This window comes from Homo sapiens, chromosome 3 (genome assembly GCF_000001405.40).
Source record: "Homo sapiens chromosome 3, GRCh38.p14 Primary Assembly".
Lineage (NCBI taxonomy): Eukaryota > Metazoa > Chordata > Mammalia > Primates > Hominidae > Homo > Homo sapiens.
The window spans coordinates 139,922,848-139,943,774 of record NC_000003.12 but is presented as its reverse complement, the minus strand read 5'-3'; the positions used below and the strand labels follow the sequence as shown (position 1 = coordinate 139,943,774).

General features: G+C 43.1%; 1 protein-coding gene across 1 annotated transcript in view, besides 2 other annotated features; it reads right to left on the bottom strand.

Moving 5' to 3' along the window:
- CLSTN2 (calsyntenin 2) overlaps nucleotides 1-8,590 on the bottom strand; it is a 642,213-nt gene extending 633,623 nt beyond the window's left edge. The window contains exon 1 of the mRNA NM_022131.3: nucleotides 8,292-8,590. Within this exon, the coding sequence (NP_071414.2) occupies nucleotides 8,292-8,400 (109 nt within the window). The 5' untranslated portion in view covers nucleotides 8,401-8,590. The remainder of the gene's footprint in view (nucleotides 1-8,291) is intronic.
- Nucleotides 8,443-8,502: a silencer, noted in NCBI's record as "silent region_14771". NCBI's record gives its function as "represses an Ori minimal core promoter by ATAC-STARR-seq in GM12878 lymphoblastoid cells {active_cell/tissue: GM12878}" and the evidence as "EXISTENCE:reporter gene assay evidence [ECO:0000049][PMID:35858748]".
- Nucleotides 8,543-8,592: a silencer, noted in NCBI's record as "silent region_14770". NCBI's record gives its function as "represses an Ori minimal core promoter by ATAC-STARR-seq in GM12878 lymphoblastoid cells {active_cell/tissue: GM12878}" and the evidence as "EXISTENCE:reporter gene assay evidence [ECO:0000049][PMID:35858748]".

Below are 20,927 nucleotides of genomic sequence, written 5' to 3'. Positions count from 1 at the left end.
TGGAGGTGGGTGGCTTTTGTGTACCCACCCTAAAACTGAGACGAGCTGATTTCCTTTGGGATGGGAACCGGTAGCCTGTTCCAGCTCCCATCCCCAGATGGTGATAGCACCCCTGGGGAAGTGACTACAGAATGTGGCATGAATATTAGATTCTAGGTGCTGGTGGTATCGTCTGTTGCCTGTGGAAGTAGACACCCCAGGATCTCAAGGCACCATGCTGTTTGGACAATGGGCATCACAAGCAGTAATAACCTGTGAGGGAGGGAAATCTGAGGCAATTCCAGAGTGTTAAGCTATTCTTAAAAACCTTACAGACCTTAGCGTGGAGGGTGAAAGATAGAATTCATGACTGAGATGGAGTTTCTTGCAGGCCTGGTGGGACTGGCATACATGCTGCCACCTTGACAGCAGCATAATGGGAGGGTTGGAGAGGGGGTCAAAATTAGAATTTAGTGCTTTCATTTGCACAAGATGCTAAACAAGGCAGAAGCAATGGGAATTGAGGAGAGGTTCTAGATGGTGATGATAGGATCAACCAGACATGAGGAAGGATGGGTTGTGATATTTGTGGAGAGACAAGCATGCTGGAGGACTCTTGGGGGCTCTGGCTTGGGTGAATGTATGGATGATGTACCTTTCACCCAGAGGCCACAGCAGAAGCAGTAGATTCTTGGAGGAAAAATGAGAGCTTAGTTTGGGACATATGGGGCTGCGGCATCCTAAAGGAAACAGATACTGAGTGAGCCTTGGGTGGGGTAGGAGGCTCAAAGTGAGCTAGGGAAAAAAAGTATTGATCAGGGGCATCTCTGGCCAATCTCTGGGGAGGACTGATATGAGTAGAGGGTCTTGAGCTGGAGACAAGCAAGATCCTGAGAAAGTATTGGAAATAAGTTGCCTGTCCTTAGAGTTAGAAAACTGCTCAGTAGTGAAAGAAATGGGCTTCAAGTGGCCATGGTCCAAGATGTCACCTAGCTCACCACACTGGCTCGCTGGTGCTGGATTGCAATCAACTGCACACAGTCTGACCCCTTGTCCTGATTTTTGATCTGCTGCTATATGCCCTGTAATGTGCATTTACCAATGTGTAAGAGGGGTATCTGAGAACAATACAATGGGCATATATAAAATCCTGCCGTGAGAGTGGAAGAAAAGGCAGCCCGATCAACAGTCTGGTTATCTGCTATTCCTATATGATCTCCTCCCGCCCTTGCCATGCACACCTCTCAACATCCCCTTCTTATCCACTTTGTTATCTAGCCACCTAATATGTTTAAAAGTATGTATCCTGGCCTAAAACGGAGTCAGAAGAGGGCAATATTTAACCCAAATGAATAACCGAATCAGGAGAACTGTCGGTACAAAGGCCAGCCAGCTGGGATAGTCTTTCTGGTGCAGGAGACCCCTCCAAACACATCTGGGACTATACAGTGCAGAAGGCTGCCTCCTCTGCTTGAGGCCAAGCATGACAGGAGGTGAGGAGGGCTTCAAGCTGTCTGGATGAGAAGAAACAGGTATTGCTCACTTGGAGAAGTGAGTCAGAGAGTGAGGCTTTCAGGGAAACCGATTCTTTCAGCAATTTTGAAGTAAAATCCAAGCAAATATTCTTGGACAGCAAGGCAATGCCTTCCAGGGCAGCAGAGCCTCTCTGACCTCACTCAGAGCCTTCCTCAAGCAGACATCACATCATTCTGAATAGGTAAGCCTGTGTGAAGAGGGGAACCCATGCCTACCAGTGTATTCTGAGTTTGTAACCCCAGTTTTACCACCTCTGAGCTCTGAGACTTTGGGCAAGTTACCTCACTTCTCAGTGACTCAGTTTACTCCTCTGTAAAAATAAGATTGTAGATTTACCTCCTTCATAGGGTTGGTACGAGGATCAAACCAACCGACATATGTGAAGTGCTTCAAGATAGTGCTTGGCACATAGTATGAACTCAATAAACATTCACTGTTTTATTAGCTCTGGAATCTGATGCAGAAATAATATTTGACCTGGCTGAGCTCCCTCTTCACTCGTGCCTGTGTGCCAATCACTCTTACCACCTTGTATTTACCTGTCCAGTGCAAACCCCTGCCCCTGACATATGCTTACCCAATGCCTACCCACCCATCAACATCCCTTTTACTTTCTCCATAAGTCTTTCCTGACCTCTATTGTTGCCAACTTCTTCCTTTCCTGCAAGGCTTCGGGGGGTCTGTGATGCACAATCTATGATTTTCCCATAAGTCACCAAGTTCTGCAATAGTTTGTGTGATGTGTGATGTGCAGTGTTTGCCCTAGACAGAGTGTGAACTCTTTGATAATTGGAACTTGCTTTTATCTTTTTGTTCCCCTCACAGAGAATAACAGGAGGCTGAGAAATAGTAATTGGCTGAAAAGGCTAGAGAACAGGACCTAGTGCATGTCTGGAAGGGCTAACTCTCATTCTAACCATTCTCCTCTGACCAATACTCCCTCTGGCCTACTGCTTGTTTCTTTCCCAAATCTCAGAGCATGATCCTCTGTCCTACACAGTGCCAGGATCTTCAGCTCAGTGCTCTTCCCCAGCTCAGGCCTCCCCATGGTCTACCCTCAAAACCTGTCTTTCCCAGGGAACCATTTCCACAGGGTCCAATTAGTCATGGGTTAGATAACAGCTAATAAAACAATCATCGATTTCAAGCTGTTATTTGAATATCATAGCTTCAGTTACCCCATTCCATATAAACATGTATTATCACAAAACTTGTCAATACCTTAAACAAAAAAGTATGCCTTTCTGTTTTCTCAGGTAGCAGGGCTTGGAGGAAAGTATGAACTGGGCAGGAGATCTTTCCTTACAACCCAGATCACACCACATAAGCTCTCCCTCCAGAGACCAGAACCTCCCACACCTCTGGCACTAGCACATGGAGACAGGCTTGTTTATTTACTTAGATAGCAAATATTGCTGACCTTTACTCTGAGCTGGCCCTGCACTAAGTGCCAGGGCCTTTGAGATGAATGAGATGGAGCTCTGGCTTCAAAGACATCCATAGACTAGTGAAAAAAAGCATGTCTTTTTACAAACAAGTCAAGCCAAATGCGTGTGTATGCATGTGCATTTACATTTATATATGATATTTACACACAGGTGCATATCCACACAAGGAGAGAGAGGCAGAGAGAGACTGAGAAACAGAGGAACGGATAACAGTTTGAGCTGAGAAAAGATATGAACAAAGCTATTGGATTTCTAAGAGATCAGAAAAAAAAAAATTCACCAAATCTCAGACACTAAACTAACTGTTCAAGTGATCAATAATTAGTCATTGTATATTTAGTGCATTTTACATGCCCCAAACTGGGCTAAGTGCCCTGACAACTATTTTACAAGGTAGATCTCTGTATCCCCATTTTAGAGATGAGGAAACTGAGTCTCAGATGGGTTAACTAACTTGTCCAAGATCATCTAACTAGGAAGCAGTAGGGCCAGGTTTGGAACTCAAGTTTTTCTGGCCATATGCCCAAATTTTACTTTATAGAGGAGAAGGAAAAACACATAAATTGTCTATGTCAAGAAATGACAGCACTAGGGATTACAAACAGGTGTGTTCACCAAGCAAATCACTGCATACTGCTCATCTCATATCTTGAGGCAAGGCTCTGGAGATACCAGGAGAGTCAGAATGAGCCTCTAGCACTGGTCTTTGAGCCCTGAGGACTAGAGTCAGACAAGGAAACACAGGCATGCAGGAAAGAGAGGCAAGTCACTCAGAAGTAACCAGCCTGGGAAGGTTCCTTATGGAAGGCCAAATCTTGAGTAACAGTGAAAATTGGGCTGAGGAAGGTGACCTACTAGCTTGATGCCCAGAGAATCCAAGAGAGGTAAAGGGCACATTCCGGTCCAAGAACCACAGGCGTTTCAGGATGGCAGCAGGTCAGAGTACACTTTCTGATGCATTGCTGAGGGCTTTTTGGCATTTGTGCTTCAGTTGGAAAAATGACTCTGTTATACCACTAGAAGACACCTGCTACTTACCCAAAGATGACTTAGAACAATCCACCATAAAAATTCCACACTACCTTTGCCCCTGCAGGAAGTTCTGCAGTGTGCAATCTGGAATATTCAAGGATGGTTTTTGAATCTGTGGGAGAGAGAATGAGGTGACTGCTCTAAGCGAGAACATTGGTTTCCATGGTGAGAGCAAGGTCCGTTTCCCTCACCTCACCTGCATGCCCTTTTAAACAGCCTTAGACACTCATACTGTGCTCTTCTGTGGGCAGGACCACAAGGGCTCCTGGGTAACTCAAAGATGCAAACAGCTCAGCTTCCTTGTGGTCCCTAGACCTGCTTTCAAAACCACTGGGAAGACTATCTGACAAATAGGGGGCACTGGGTATAGTGACCTTTATATTCTCATCCCAGTGCCACACCCTCTAGCTGGAGGTCTTGGCAAGTTCATTTACCCTCTCATAGAATTTGTTTCTTCATCTGTGAAATGGGCTAACACTGGCTCTGCATGTGTTGTAAGAGTTAGAGATTGCCCATGTAATGGGATTAGCAACAGTGCCTGTGACATACTAAAGAGGGACTCCATACACTGAAATTACTACAATTACACCATACTGTTGTTATAATTCTGCTCCATCCTCCTCCTTACCTATTACCACATGCTGCTTTTGTAAACTTTGTCTCTGCACTCCCATCTCCTTTGCCTGTGTCTCTATCACAGTCAATACTATACTTTGGACAAATTCTCTCCGCTGCCACTCTCTTAAAATTTTCACATAAAAATCTTGTCTCTCCAACTAAAACAGAAGCTCCTCAACCCTAAAACTTAAAGTATAATAATAATAAAAATTAAAAAAAAAAGAAAGGTAGGGGTGGGAGGGGTGGAGGGTGGTCCTCTGCTACTGGCTCAGAACCAGAGCACTGAGCAAGGCTCTTAGCACACAAGGCGGGCACTACAACAATTGATGGTCTATACTTGAGTATTGTTCCAAATGACCTCTATGCCTAGATGTTGGGAACTTAAGAAGGACTGTGTACCAAGTCCTTGAGGTCTTGGGACCACTGACATTTTGCCAAATTTAGCACAAACTTTGAGGTGTTGTCTAGATTGCATTGTCTTCCTTCCCTTGGATAAGACATGTCTTTCTCTGCCTCCAGAAACTCTTTGGGTCCACAACACCTTACCAGCTTTACTCATAGAACATGAGCATGTGATCTGGTCTCTTCATGGAATCCAAGAAGTATTTATCTTTTTTGAATAGCCAAAATATGTAAGGGTGAAGGGAAGGAGTTATAATTGCCTGGCCACTGTGTGATTTCTGAAATTGGAAATATGTCTACACTGAAAGTACAGTGATTCTGTGAAAACCCCAGGTAGTTGTCCGGGATTAACTGCTCGAGTCCCTAAAGCAAGAAGCAAGAAGCAAGAAGCACAAAGGCAGAACAAGCTGTGCACCACAGACACAACATCTTACACAAGACTGAAGCTGGGAGCACATGCTTCCAGACAGTTGTTTGGAGGGTGCATTCAACTCTGTCAGAAAGCTTGACTCCAGACTCCCAGTGTTTTTCTACACATGAATACAGAATTGTACGAAAGAAGTATCTGGTTTTTTGTTCAATCTTCACACGCCTTCCTGATTTTTTTTTTTTTTTTTTTGTGATGGGAATAACAATGGTATGAACCTTAAAAATGGCAAAGTCAGAGGCAGGGTGCATTATACACAAAACATACAGCTTTATCATTTCAAACATTCTTCAGAGATCATATGATTTGGAAACATAAAATGCAAGTGCATTGTTATAAGGAAAGTCAGTCCTGTAAATACTAACTAAAGTGTCATAATAAATGTCTCTGTTGTAATCAAATATTACACATTTATCTTGAAAAAAAAATCAGCAGCAAACAGAGCTCTTTGCAGCCCCCCAGTGGTTGGAAGGGGAAAGAAGCGAGAACAAGGGGAATTCGGACAGTTAACTCTCAATCTGCAGGGCCAATAAACTTTTTACCCTGGAAAAACAAATGTCTAGTTTGTTTGTTTGTTTGTTTGTTTTTGAGACGGAGTTTCATTCTTGTTGCCCAGGCTGGAGTGTAATAGCGCGATCTCGGCTCATTGAAACCTCTGCCTCCCGGGTTCAAGTGATTCTCCTGCCTCAGCCTCCCGAGTAGCTGGGATTACAGGTGCGTGTCACCACACCCATCTAATTTTTTTTTTTTTTTTTTTTAGTAGAGACGGGGTTTCTCCATGTTGGTCAGGCTGGTCTCGAACCCCTAACCTCAGGTGATCCGCCCGCCTCGGCCTCCCAAAGTGCTGGGATTACAGGCATGAGCCACCATGCCCGACCTGACAAATGCCTAGTTTTAACCAAAAAATGAATATGTTCTAAGTCGGATGTTGGTTAAAATGCACATAATTATCCACATAAAGTGAATCATTGAAAGCCTGGGGTTTTTATTTTCCTTTTTTATCTCTCTCCTTCTCTTTCTCGCTTACCTCTATGAAGCTTCCCATTCTGACCTGAGAACTCAGCCGTGCATTATTACTACTCACACCAGATCCTCTTCCCAAATGATTTCTTCCCTGTTCTGCACTTGCTGTGTGCTTCTCACCCTCCTTCAAACTCCCGTTTGCAGACATCTGCTTATATCAATTACTGTGCTACAAAGTGATGGGAAATCTCCTCCCCCCCACCCCCCAAAAAAGTAATTTGCCTGTTTAACAAAGTGTCTATATTGGGAAAGCAGGGGGGAGATGTTTGGAAGTTCATTGTTTTTTATTCTTGTCTTCACCAAAACAACAGTCTCTCAGCTTGATCCCTTCATATCAGCCACTTCTTTACCGCACTCTGAGATATTTTCATAACGAGTTTTTCTCTCATGAAATTTCTCATTTCTAAAAATAGAAACTGCCTGTCAAAGATACACCAAGAAAAAAAATGCTGAAAAGAAACAGAATGCCTGCTTATAAAATATTTTCAAAACGATGACACCAAAAAATTTAAAAATTACAGATAAACATAATCTCCCATGTTCTTCTCAAATATATCACTCCTAAGTTATTGGAGGGCCAGTTTCTAAAGCCCAGACAAGGCGAACTGCCTGCCTCCAGCTCTCCCCAACCTCCAAGAGTAATGCAGCCTGATAGGCATTTCCTCCCCTAAGCTAGTGGTCAAGTGTAGCTCAAAGCAAGCGTCCGAATCAGGCTGTCTCTAACAGGGAATCTATTTTCTGACAGGCGCAAACCCCTCCGCCCTCTGATGATTGCCAGGCAGGATTTGGGGACCAAGTACCCCTCATTGTCACCTGGCGGATTTGGCCACAGTCCACAAACCAAACGCAAGCCCTACTTATGAACAGCGCAGAGAATCAACAAGTTATCACTAAGCTGTGCGCCCCAGCTAGGATCTGCCACAGCCTCCCCTGAGCCCACCACTGTTCCCCACCAGCTCTGCTCTTCCCTCGCCTCCCCACCCCCTGCAAGCACGTGACCTCCTGTTTCAGACCCGGCCCCCCACCCCAGAGCTCCCGACGCTCCCAGGCAGCTGTCAAAGTCCGGGGTTCGCCGGCTTCCAGGCTCGCCTGACAGAGCCAGGCGTTCGCTTGGATCTAGCTTCCTTCCGGGCGGGAGGCGCGGGGAGGTCAAGCTCTTCAAAGGAACAGGGTGGGCAGGGGAGTGGTGCCAGGTTAGGCTCCTCGGTCCTCGGTAGTCAGAGCGGAGTAGGAAAGGCAGCGGGGAGCCTCACATCCCGCGCTTCTTCCGGACCCCGCCGCCTACCCGGAGGGTACACGTTCCCCGGGGAGTCAGAGACGCCCTGGGGGAGCTTGAGGAGTGTCAGCGGGGCCTTCCCTGGAGCCTACAAGTTTCCACTCCATCCCCGAGCTGGGAGACAAGTCACAGCTCGGCTCCCTCCTTGAAAGCACCGCCGCTGATCCTTCCCCCAGGCAGGAGCAGACACCTGCTTGTCCCCACGGCGCGCCAGCGCCCTGCTCTAGCCGTCCCTGGGCCAGAGCTCGAAACTCACCCACTGCGCTCCCACCCCGGCACAGACAGCCCTCAAAGTTGTCCGTACTCCCCAGACCTCGCCTTCTGCTCAGCCCCCGGACCCCGCCCAGGGGTTGAGTTGACGTCCGCGGGTGGACCTCTCTGGTCCGCTGCGCAGGGAACTGACTTCGGGAATCCAGGGCGCACAGAGGCCAAAGAAGCTGCGGCAAGGGAGGGTGGGCAAATCCAGCTTGAGCCTAGGTCCTTGCCGCTTTCACCCTCAAGCCTGCCCTGCCTCCCTCCTGGGAGAAGAGCAAACTTCCCCAGCACCCACCTTTAGCCGCGAGGAGGCGGCGCTGCCGGCTGTCCCCGCCACCGCCGCTGCCGCTCCCCACGCCCAGCGCCAGCAGGAGCGGCACCCAGCACAGCCGCCCAGGCAGCATCCTCGCAGCAGCCGCCAACGAGCTGCAGCCGCCGCCTACTGTCCGCGCCGGCTCTCGCCTCCCGGTGCCTGCCGCACCGTGGGCCGCCTCGCCGTGCCCGATGGGTGCGCTTCTAGCGCTGCCGCCGCGGCGCTCGGCCTCGGGTTCCCGCCGCTGCGCCGCTAGCTCGCCGGCAGCAGCCGCGCTCACTGGCGCGGACCCGGAGCGGCTCAGGCGCTCACCCCGGGACGGCCCGTGACGTCACGGAGGGAGGGAGGTGGCTCGTGCATATTCATGAACGCGGGCATCGGCGCCGGGTTCCGCGCTCCCCGCCCCAAGGCCCCGACCCCCAACTTTCCTCAGCCGTCTCCACGCTCCGGGGCCCTGTCCAGGTCCCCCTGCCCAGTCGGGACCGGGCCCCCAGAGGACCCTGGTGGGCGGCTCCGGAGAGCCCTCCAGCCCCGCGCCTCCACTCCGACTCTCGGAAAAGCTGCCGCAAGGGATGGAGGGCTCCCCCAGAAAGTGGCCACCCGAGGCCTGAGGGTCATCTGGGGTGGCGCGAGGGACCCTGACCTGCCATGCCCTTTGAACTGATATCTGGGCGGAGAGGACTGACGGGCGTCGCTAAGGGTCTTGCCCTTGGCTGGGTCTCTGGGCGTTCTGCGTCGACTGGTCTGGGGAGGGCGCCAGGCGCACACTAGAGCAGCGCCTAGTGGTGCTAGGGGTTGTCGGGCAGAGTAGATAGCCTTGGACCTGGATGGCAATGGCAGGGCTCCGCGTCATCTCCGAGAAGCAGGGGCAGCCGCGGCTCTTAGAGGCTGATAGAACAGCTAGATCAGAAAACTTGGGGTGCTGGGCCTGCTGAGGCTGCAGTGGCGGGGGCGGGGTGTCAAACTTAAAATTCCCTGCGGTATGGTGCCATGCAAGAAGTTGCCACCTTTATGTTGTCACTCCGCATCTCTAAGAACAGGCTACTTGACGTCATGCATTGTAAAATCTCGTGCCGTTGAGTATTGTCAGTTCCCTGAGTGCAGGAGCCAGTGCATATCTTTGCATCCTCAACCATCTCTAGGCCGTGAAAAAATTACAAAGGTACTCAAAAAAAAAAAAAAAAAAAACAGTAAGGACTCAGAATAAATCCTTGACCATATTTACCTAAATGAAATGCCAACATCACACACAATGCAGGGTTTATGAGGAATAGTTTGGAAATAAAGTAGATATGGAAATACAGAAACAAACAATATTATTTATTTAGTCATTGATTCAAGACGTTTGCTGAGCATCTAGACAGGCTGTATCACCCTGACAGTGAGCACTGGATTAGTCGTTGGAGATCCAAAGACAGAGGAGAGAGTGGGTCCTATCCTCAAAGCTTTTGTTCCCTGCTTGGGGAGCCAGAGAGGGCAGCAAAGGCAATTACAATCCCTTGTAAGTGTTATGGTCCTGCACATTCTTTATGTTGCTAGCTATGAGCCTATACAAATCAATTAACAAAATGTATATATTGCAAGAGTGCCTAAACAGCATCCTCTAATTAATAACTGTAGTTTGAGGTACTCAACAAAGCCATAAAATCCATTAACAGCACTCCTGCAGCTCAGCCTCCCTCTGCTGCCCTGGCAGCTCACTCAGAGCCTCTGCAGTGGTGAAAGCCAACTCTTCAGGATTTCAGGCACCAGGATGTGCTTGGGGACAGCAGTGAATCATGGTGGCTGCATGGGGCTCAGACCCATGTGGGGCTCTTTACCTTCAGGTCTCCTTTAGCCCACAAATCAACATGTGCGCTATTATTCTCATTTCACACATGATGAAATAGAGGCTCAGGGAAGTTAGGTAACTTCCTTGTTCAGGGTCAAAAATCTAGTAAATGTCCCAGGCCGACACCAGGACCTTGCCTTTGTCAGATGTTGGTTTCAGAATCTAGAAAAGATGGCATGGAAAGGTGGTAGCTGACCCAGGGAAAATAAAAAAGCCAGAAAATAGAAGAGAAATGTAAATTTGTCTCATTTTCTTCCATTTATGCTCCACCCAACTACATATCTGCCCTCCTCCCTTCATTTTCTCTAATAAGTAGACCTATCTTACTGACTTACCTGCACTGTTCTTTGATGTCATTATACTGGGCTTTGTTAAGATCACTGATTGGTCCTAATAATTTTATGTGAAGTTTCAAATTCAGACCAAATAATGAGAAACAGGGGGAAATGTAGCTTATTAGGAAGCATCTCCATGGAGAGATAGCCAGGAAAGAACACAGCAAAGAAAAACACTAGGGGGTGGGCCAGTTACCAACAGGCACAAAATTGCTAGCCTCCATCTCCTCCTCTACCAATGAGGGTAATAACAATGCCTATTGTGGTAGATCAAGTGCACTAATGGCCATTTGTCCATGCTTCTCTGAATCTGTTTCCTTTGGATGTGCCCTCCCACCCCAACTCTGAGCTAGGCCATATGATTTGCTTTGGTCAGTGGGACAGTGGCATGCATGTTGCTTCTTCCTGCCTTGAATCCCTGCTGCTGACATGAGAACAAGCCTAAGCTAACCTGCAGAAGGGTAGGAGACTGCATGGAGTAGAACTGAGCTGTTTCAGACAGCCAAGGTCACACTAGGCTGGTCAGAACCAACTGGCCTACAGGCTGGCTAACCACAGACACATGAGCAAGCCCAGGTAAGCTCAACCAAGATCAGCCAAGCCTGGCTCACATCAGAACTATCCAGCTGACTTATGAGATACAATAAGTGGTTTTTGCATTAATTCATTATGTTCTGGAGCAATTGATTGAGCAGCATTATGCCTACTTCATAAGATCATTACAAGAAGTAAATTTTAAAAATATGTTAAACAGTATGTTGCACATAGTCAATGTTCAATAAATGTAAAAATGTCTTCCCCTTATCCTACTTCCTATATCTCTGAAAACAAGTGTGCCAGTCACACATTTGATTTGATTCATTTGGGGAACAGGCAACAATGACCTGCCTTAGAGGAGATAAAAGTAAGTAAGTTCAGCCTTAGAAATACTCAGACATAAGAGCTTTTAAGTCCACATCATTTGTATGGAGCACTACTGTGCTGTCTGCTTCTGCTGGGCCATTGCAGATGCAAAAGATGGGGTAAAGCAACCTAACAGTTAATGAGTCCTCATTCTTTCCATGCCAGGCTTTACAATGGAGGATATACATTCCACACCTACACCTTCTTTAATCTTTGCAACAAGTGTGCTGTGGTTTGAATATGTGTCCCCTCCAAAACTCATGTTGAAGCTTAATCCTCAATGTGGCAGTATTGAGAGGTGAGACATTTGGCAGGGGGCTGGTTCATGATGGCTCTGCTCTCATGAATAGATTAATCTGTGCATAGATTAATATATTAATGTGTCAATAGATCAATGGGTTATCATGGGAATGGGACTGGTAGTTTTATAACAAGAAGTAGAGAGACCTGAGCTATTACATGATGTGATGCCCTTTGCCACCTCTACAGAATCCACATGAACAAGAAGGACCTCACCAGATTTGGACTCTCAACCTCAGGCCTCTCAGCCTCCATAATTTTAAGAAATAAATTTGTTTTCTTTATAAATTACCTAGTTTCAGGTATTCTGTTATAAGCAACAGAAAATTGACTAAGACAATTGTGCTATTTTCCCTATTTAATCATAATCAGATTACTGGCTCAGAAAGTTTGAGCAACTTATCCATATTTGCATAATTGTGCAGAATATCAATTCATGTCTGCTTAATTCCAAATTTCATCTTTCTCCCACACATCATGACTTTGGGAGAGGCATGCGGGATAAGTAAGCAACAAAAAATAGTTTCAAATCAGAAAAGATAGCTTTGGGGATTTGATTTTTAAAAAACCTTTATCTATCACTACCTCTGATTAAGGACCAATTTAAATAGCCAACTGTCACCAAAGTAGAGATACAAATCTCTGAATATCCATTACTTATTCTGGACTTAGTATTGTGGCATATTCCTCTAAAGATTTTATTCAAAAAATGGTGAACAGGGCCGGGCGCGGTGGCTCATGCCTGTAATCCCAGCACTTTGGGAGGCCGAGGCGGGCGGATCACGAGGTCAGGAGTTCAAGACCAGCCTGGCCAACATGGTGAAACCCCATCTCTACTAAAAATACAAAAATTAGTCAGGTGTGGTGGTGCGTGCCTGTAGTCCCAGCTACTCGGGAAGCTGAGGCAGGAGACTCGCTTGAACCTGGGAGGCAGAGATTGCTGTGAGCCGAGATCATGCCACTGCACTGCAGCCTGGGTGACAGAGCAAGACTCCATCTCAAAAAAAAAAAATGGTGAACAGGATGATGTAAAGCTTGGTCACTCTAAGCCTCAAGTCTGGGGCACCACCTGGCAGTGTAATAATGAATCTCAGGTAATTTATCTGGGTCAATAGTTCTTAATAAATAAATAACTCCCCTATTCCAGAAAATAGAATCTAACTGGCATAGGCCCCATATAAACATAGCCATTTCCTCTCATTTCACCAGGATCATTAATGCGTTGCCCAATTAAGCACCAAAACACAGGCCCTAAATAATTTAAGCTGGGTAATCAAAGAAAATAAATAAATTATATATACTTATGGAAACTTATTTTTAAAAAGAAAATTAAACTGAGGCTTTCTCCATGACCCAGATTTAATTCAACTAAAAGTACTTAACTTTAAAAGAAAGGTTGAAAAGCTGATCTTTACAGAACTAGAGTCATTTGTCATTCTTTTTTCCCATCTTGACAGGTAAAACTGGGGCTTCATGACGCTTGAACAACTGGACAGTTTGCAGATTTTTTAACATTGTTCTTGGAAGTTTTTACGCTGTTGCTGCCAAAGGAACTTCTTTTAAAAAAAGTTTAGGCATTTCTCTTCAGGAAAAAGTTAAAAAAAAAAAAAAAAGCTTGTTCACAACCAAATCCAGTTCAGCATTGTTTGGACATGAGTGTTTTATGCTTGGCAAGGTGGAGTGCCCTGGCTGAAAACAAAGATATCATTAATAATAGCAAGGCATTATTCCAGTACACTTATGTATACTTTCCTTGGAATTTTATGCCCTGTGGTGTTTTGCTTGTTTGTTTTTTTAAGCAGCCATAAAATTCTGTGGCTCTTCCTCCATTGAGAGATGGAATCTATATCTCTTCTCCTTGAATCCAAACAGCCTTGAATCTGAGCATTGTTTCTATCAGTAGACTGCACCAGCAGTGATGCTGTGTGACTTCCCAGACTAGATAATAATGGTGATGCAGCATTTGCCTTGCTTGCTAGGATGCTCACATATGGAGGCTGGAGCCTCCATGTAAGAATTCTAACTACGCTAAGGCCGCCATGTTTTAAGGATCACAGGCCATGCAGAAAGGCTGTATATAAGTAGTTTACAGCCCCAGCTGAGTCCAACATTTGAGTTATCCTGAAAGTTCCAAATAATTCTTCCCACTATGCCCTGCCCAAATTCCTGACCCATAGAATCCATGAATGTAATCAAATGGTTGTTTATACCACTAAGTTTTGGTGTCATTTATAATACATCTAGAGGAAATAGAACATATTTATTTTCATTTGTTCCCTACAACAAAGGCTGGGAAAAGATAAATATTATATTTCGAGGCAAGTCATGTGTAATTAGTCCTATTTTGTAGCTCAGATGTTGAGACTTGTAGAAGCCAAGGCAAGGAATAAGTAGAGCTTAGTGGAAAGAAAATGATTTCTAGAATCAGACAGACCTAAGTTGCAAACCTAGCTTTCCTGTTTTCTAATGATGTCTGACTCGAGAAAGCTACTTACTCTGAACCTCAGTTTCCTCATCTATAAACTTAGACTAATGAAGCAGGTTGTTTTCAGAGTAAAATGAACTGTAAACTGCTGAATTCTTTCCATGCCAGATGGTAGGGATACAGTAAATAGGGCCATTGATAGTTACAATGGACACTCACCCAGGGCCACACAGGTTGTGGATAGCCTTTTGCCTGACTTGATCCAGTATTTGGTGTTTTCTATGCAGGTAAAACGTGGACAGATATGGACACACATGACACCACAGAAGCTCCAGCCCCACCAGCACCTTTGCCAATCCTGCCACAGGAAGCACCAGCCCACGTGCCCTGCCAGAGCAATTCAGATGTGTCTCAAGTACCTAAATCTATCTGCTCTGTGTCATTCCAGGGCTTTGTTCCACTAAGGGAGATGAGAAGGAACCTACCACTTATTGAGCACCTACGATGAGCCAGACACTGCACATATTACTTCAACCCTCCAAAAGTCTAGAAAGGTGATTTATCATTTCCATTGGACATCTAGGGAGATTAAGTTTCAAAGAGATTCAGCAACTTGCTCAAAGAAATTAAGGTGCACTGCTAAAAATGAAGAAGCTGGAATTTGAATTGTCTGGGTCCTGTCTGACTCTGAAGCCATGTTTTTCCAGCCAAGTGAGGCAATGTGTCCAGCCTCCACCACAGCTGTAGGTGCAGGGTTTGTACAGAGACCAAATGCACTACCCTGACTCATTCTGGCCATAATCCCAGGTTTTACACAGAAGTCGTTGTCTTTCAGTGATTCTCTGAAGTTTCCCAGGTTGGAATCCTGTTTCCCCACTGTCTCAGTTGGTACTGGAGATCTTCCCTAGAGATGTTCCTTTCTCTTTTATTTCCTTTCTGTCCCTAAGGGCCTGACTCAAGCTCCACACCTCAGGCTGTCTCCTGACTCCATCCTCTCCTGCAAGGCTTTCACATAACCAGTGGTTTGATCATCAATACCTAGCTCTCCTACACTGCTCAGATACTTTCCAAGACTCATCAAGACTTACTGCAGAAGGCCAAAGTTGCTTAACAAAAATTCAAGTCCCTCACCAGCCTGGCCTCAACTTCCATTGATAACCTGATTTCCTGTGACTCCATTTTATGTAAACTCTGCTCCAGCCAGTCTGGGGACTCCACTGTTTTTCAATAGGGACCACACCAATCCTGCTTCTACACCTTTGCTCACGCTAGACCCTCTACTGTAGTGGGGCTGAATTGTGTTTCTCAAAAAGTCTTGTGTTGAAGGTCTAACCACTGGTACCTCAGAATATGATTCAGAATATGACTGTATTTGAAGATATGGCCTTTAAAGTGGTAATTAAGTTAAAGTGAGGTTATTAAGGTGGGCCTTAATTTAATATGACTGGTGCCTTTCCTTCTAAGAAGAGGAGATTTGGAAATATAATGTGAAGACAGAGAAAAGACAGCCATCTACCAGCCCAGGAGAGAGGCCTAAGAAGAAACCAACCCTGCCAACACCTTGATCTTGAACTTCCCACCTCCAAAATTGTCAGAAAATAAGTTATTAAGCCACACAGTCTGTGGTATTTTGTTATGCAGCCCTCCACACTAATACACCTACCTACAGTCTCTTCCTCTTTCTCCCCAAATAACCTTCTCAGTCTTACTTCCAAAATAAATATTTTTTCTACCTCCCCAAGCACTTGCTTATCTTAAAGTCTTCAAGAGGCTTCTCATCACTCTTAAAATAAAAAAAAAAAAATTAAACCATTTTAGTCTAACTCACAAAGCCCAACTTGATTATTCCTGCCTGCTTCTCTGACCTCTCCCACCTTGCCTACTGGCCTTTGGTCCTTTGAACATAACCAGCTCTTTCCTGCCTTTGCTTTAAACTGGGATTGTACTTCCCTCTTACATCACATGGCATTCAGGTTTCATTTTAAATGTCACTTCTCCAGGGAAGTCATTCCATTACTCTATATAGCGTTTCTTTTTTAATTCTCTGTAATCACTCCTTGCTGATATTTTCTTGAAAGTTTACTTGCTCATTTATTTCCAGCCTCCTCCCAATAGAACCTAAATTGCAGGAGAGGCGAGACTCATGTGCCTGACACATGGGTGCTAGATAGTTATTTACTGAGTGAATGAATGAATGCATGAATGAATGGTTTACCTTCTCTGAGCAGAGCACGTTTTGTCCTGCATCCCTCTTTTTTGACTATTGACATAAACATCCTATTGAAAAATCACTTAAATGTATATTCTTCTTATAAAAATCTAGAACTTATATTTTCATGTAGCTTGAGCATGATACTGCAAAATTCATACTCATGGGTGGGAGGGTGGTGTTAAGTAAGAAAGCATTTTAAAGGGTGAGTAGTACAGATACTGTTTTCGTTTTATACATAAGGAAATGGATGCAAAGAGAGGTTACATCACTGGCTTAAGCTCACACAGCCTGGGCTAGATTCTAGTTTTCTTGAGTCCTGGTTCAGAACTCTTTTTCTATATCATGTCTTGGTACATAGTCAGAGTCAATAAGTAGAGTGCACAAACACCAGTGCTTAAAATGCCTGGAGCTGACTGAGCTAGGAGTCAGGAAATGCCTTCCACACAAACACCCCAATGGAGAGATCCCTATGAAAGAGAAGAGAAGGGTTAAACGTTCATTTGCTTTCCCAACTCAAAAAGCAGCCTATGCCTGCTCTTCAGAGCCTTCTAGTCTAAGATCGACAAGCTGACTTGCTAGACTGCTCCAAGGAAATCATTTCACCTAAGTAATTTTAAAGTTTTATGTCTTTCATTTCTCAGTATTTAAGAAATTTTTTTCCAGGTTGGCGTGGTTATGTGTCATGAATCATGTGTCCAAAGGGGACAGGATATATTATATCATCTTCATACAATGTTCTATAACATCTGGGAATGCCAAAAAGTGGTGTAGAGTGGATGGCACATGATAAACGGTATGTATTTGCCCGTGGGGGAATTGAAGGACCTTAAACACCCAATGCCATGCCTAAAGGGCAAAGTGTGGCTTCATTCCTGCTTTAGTCTATAAGTAACTGAATATTGGAGGCTGACTTTATGGTAAAAGATATCCAGCTATTTTTTGACTTTAGGATTCAGGGATGAATACTCTTAAAGCAGACTACTAAAATCCATTCTAAATACATTTCCTTAAAACTGGTCTAGAGATTGATTTAATGCTGAACTAGGAGGAGTAAGAGAGAGAGTGAGTGGAAGAAAGAGGGGGGGAAACGTCAAAGAGGAGCTACATAAACAATGATTAAGGATTTTTGAGTATTTATATGATACAATTCATATACATGAATATGAAACTTTGTACTTTGCAAACAAAGATTAAGGTTTCCTTTACACTCTTCATAGAAATTCACTAGATGCCTGTATCATCAAAGTGCTTAAAACAGGTCTGTAATTAATAAATTATTTAAATATTTAAGCTGTCACTCAAAAGTGAATATGATATCTAGACATTCTTAGATACCCCGTGCTCATTTAAAACCAACAGGCCATCATGAAAGAAAACCTTAAGATGAAAGAAGGCATCGTGAACAACAAAGATATATTGATCTAAACAAGATTTAAACAAAATTAAAATAAGAGTTAAATAATGAGTAATTTGCATGGGATGTAAGCAAAATAGGAACAAAATACTAGACAAAAGTAACATGAAAACTAAAATAGAGGGATCAAGATTAAAATATCCTAGGTTCCATATATTGTTCAAAAGGAGAGTAAAGATATAGAATACTTTCAGACTTTTCTCATGCAAGTGTTCTTGTCAAGATTTTAAGGGTGAACAGTTAAAGATTAGATAGAGAACAAATAGTTTCCAAAAAATCAAGAAGAAGAGGGGAATGAAAGGAAACCCATCCAATAAATGATAGTAAAGGAATAAAACGTGAAGAATAGAAAAGCAGGTTTATTAGAACAAAATAAATTGATATGATAAGTTCCTATGTACCACACTAAAAAGGGAAGGATTAGACTTATGTATTAATAATAGAGATTCTGAAGTTAGATATATTTTAATGCTATCATATGTTTGCAATTGGCACACTGAAAATATAAGTACACAGAAAAGTTGAAATGTACAATGTATATGTGAGTATGCATATATATTTACATATGTATTATATTGTGTATACACATATATGTGTGTGTGTATACATATATATAGATCATAAGTGTTGCTTTTTATTTTCACATAAAATAAAATTTAAGGCAAAAAAGTTCTAAAATTAATGAGGATCACTATATAAAGGTAAAATGTTCAATTTGTCAGAAAGACATAACAGTTCTAATCCTCCATGCACTTAGTAACATAATCTCAAAATATACAGAAAAGCAAAAATTTACAGAATAAAAGACTCACAAATTCACAGTCATAATAAAAGATGTTAATGTACTTCATTTTGCAATGTATGGACCAAAACAATAAACGTTAGTAACAATAGAGACAATTTGAACAACACTATTAACAACTGCTCAAATGGACAAATTTAAACCTAGCAATTAACAATTAAAGGAAACAATTTATCTTCAGGCACAAGTTAGCTATTTATAAAGTACATCTCAACAAATACTAAGGAATCTCTATTATGTAGACAATATTTTTGTTACTATTATACCAAAATACAATTAATAACAATTTTTAATATGCACATATTTGGAAATTGAGGGGAAAATCTTCTACATGGCCAATAGATAAAAGAGAAAGTAAAAATACAAATTAGAAAACATTTAGAACTGAACAACAGTGAAAATACTACATATCAACACTTACAGAATGAAGCTGAATGGAATTTAGAAATAATAGCCTTTAATGCTTATCTTAGAAAATAAGAAAGTCTGGGGAATTTTCTGTTGAGTATCCCAGACAAAAAGTCATAAAATGAACAACAATAGTTCTTAGGATTGTGTGATATTGCTAAAGCAATAGAAAAATAGAGAAATGGAACAGAATAGATAACTTGGAAATAGAAACATACTTGTATAAATACTTAATGTATGCTTAGAAGTCAATGAAGGAAAAGATGGACTACTCTATCAATGGTAATAAAATCATTTCAATGGAACAATGGCTTAATCTGAAAAATACAAAATTATAAGTTTTAGAAAAAATATTAGTAGAATATTTGTATGACTTAAAAGTAAGAAAGAATTTCTTAAACACAAAAGGCACAAATCATGAAGAAAAGTATTGATATATTCAACACATCAAAATTAAGAAATTTTGTTCATCAAAAGACACCAAAAATAAAGGGAAATAGAAAGCCATGAGGTGAAGATTGATATCTGTGACTCTTGTAACTAACAAAGGATTGGTCTCACATATATGAAGAATTTCTACGAATCAGTAACAATAAACAATTAAGAAAAAAGGGGAAATTTATAAACTGGCAATCCATAAAAAATAAGTCTGATAGGAAAATGCACAAGAAAAAAATGTTCAATATTATAGGTCATTGGGGAAATAAAAGTTAAAAATAACAGCAAAATACTATTTCACACTTAACAAATTAGAAAAGTTTTAAAAGTCTAATAATACTATATATTAGCGAGAATAAGGAGCAATGGGACTATTTATACACTGCTAATGGAAATATAATTGGTACAACCACTTTAGACAGCATGAGATAGAATCTACTAAAACTGAATATGCACATACTCTGCAACCTAGTATATTAATTTCCTAGTGCTGCCGTAACAAAGCACCACCACCAACCAGCTGGTTTAAACAATAGAAATTTATTCTGTCACAGTTCGGGAGGCTAGATGTCCAAATTCAAGATGTCAGTTGTGTGGTGCCTTCCGAAGCCTCTAGAGGAAGACCCTTCCTTGCCTTTTCTGGCTTTTAGTAGCTCTGGATGTTTGCGGGCTGGAGGCAGCATAATCTCCACCTCAATCTTCACATTGCATTCTCCTTGTGTCTCTGTATCTTTACACTGCCATCTTCTTAGACAAACACCAGTCATATGAGATTAGGAGCCACCCTACTTCAATGTGACCTCATCTTAACTGAACTAAATACATCTGCAATGACTGCAGTCAGCCCTCAATAGCTGTGGGGGCTGTAGGTTCCACGTCTGTGGATTCAACCAACAGCTAATTGAAATATTTGAAAGAAAAAAAAAAAGCATCTGTAGTAAACACGGATAGATGTTTTTTCTTGTCATTCTTTTCTTTTCTTTTCTTTTTTTGAGATGGAGTTTCACTGTTCGTGCCAGACTGCAGTGCAATGGCGTGTTCTCGGCTCACTGCAACCTCCACCTCCCGGGTTCAAGCAATTCTCCTGTCTCAGCCTCCCAAGTAACTGGGATTACAGGCACGGGCCACCATGCCCAGCTAATTTTTGTATTTTTAGTAGAGATGGGATTTCACCATGTTGGCCAGGCTGGTCTCGAACTCCTGACCTCAGGTGATCTGCCCACCTCGGCCTCCCAAAGTCCTGGGATTACAGGCATAAGCCTCTGCACCCAGCCCTTGTCATCATTTTCTAAACAATACAGTGTAACAATGAACTACATAACATTTTATTTCACTGTACTCTAGAGATGATTTAAGGTACATGGAAGGACATACGTAGGATAGGCACAAACACTATGCCATTTTATATAAGGGACTTGAGCATCCATGGATTTCTGGCATCCATGAGGAGTCCTGGAACCAATCACCCATGGATACTGTGTGACAACTGTATTTCCAAATAAGGTCATATTCTGAGGTACTAGTTTTTGGAGGACAAAATGTTACCCATA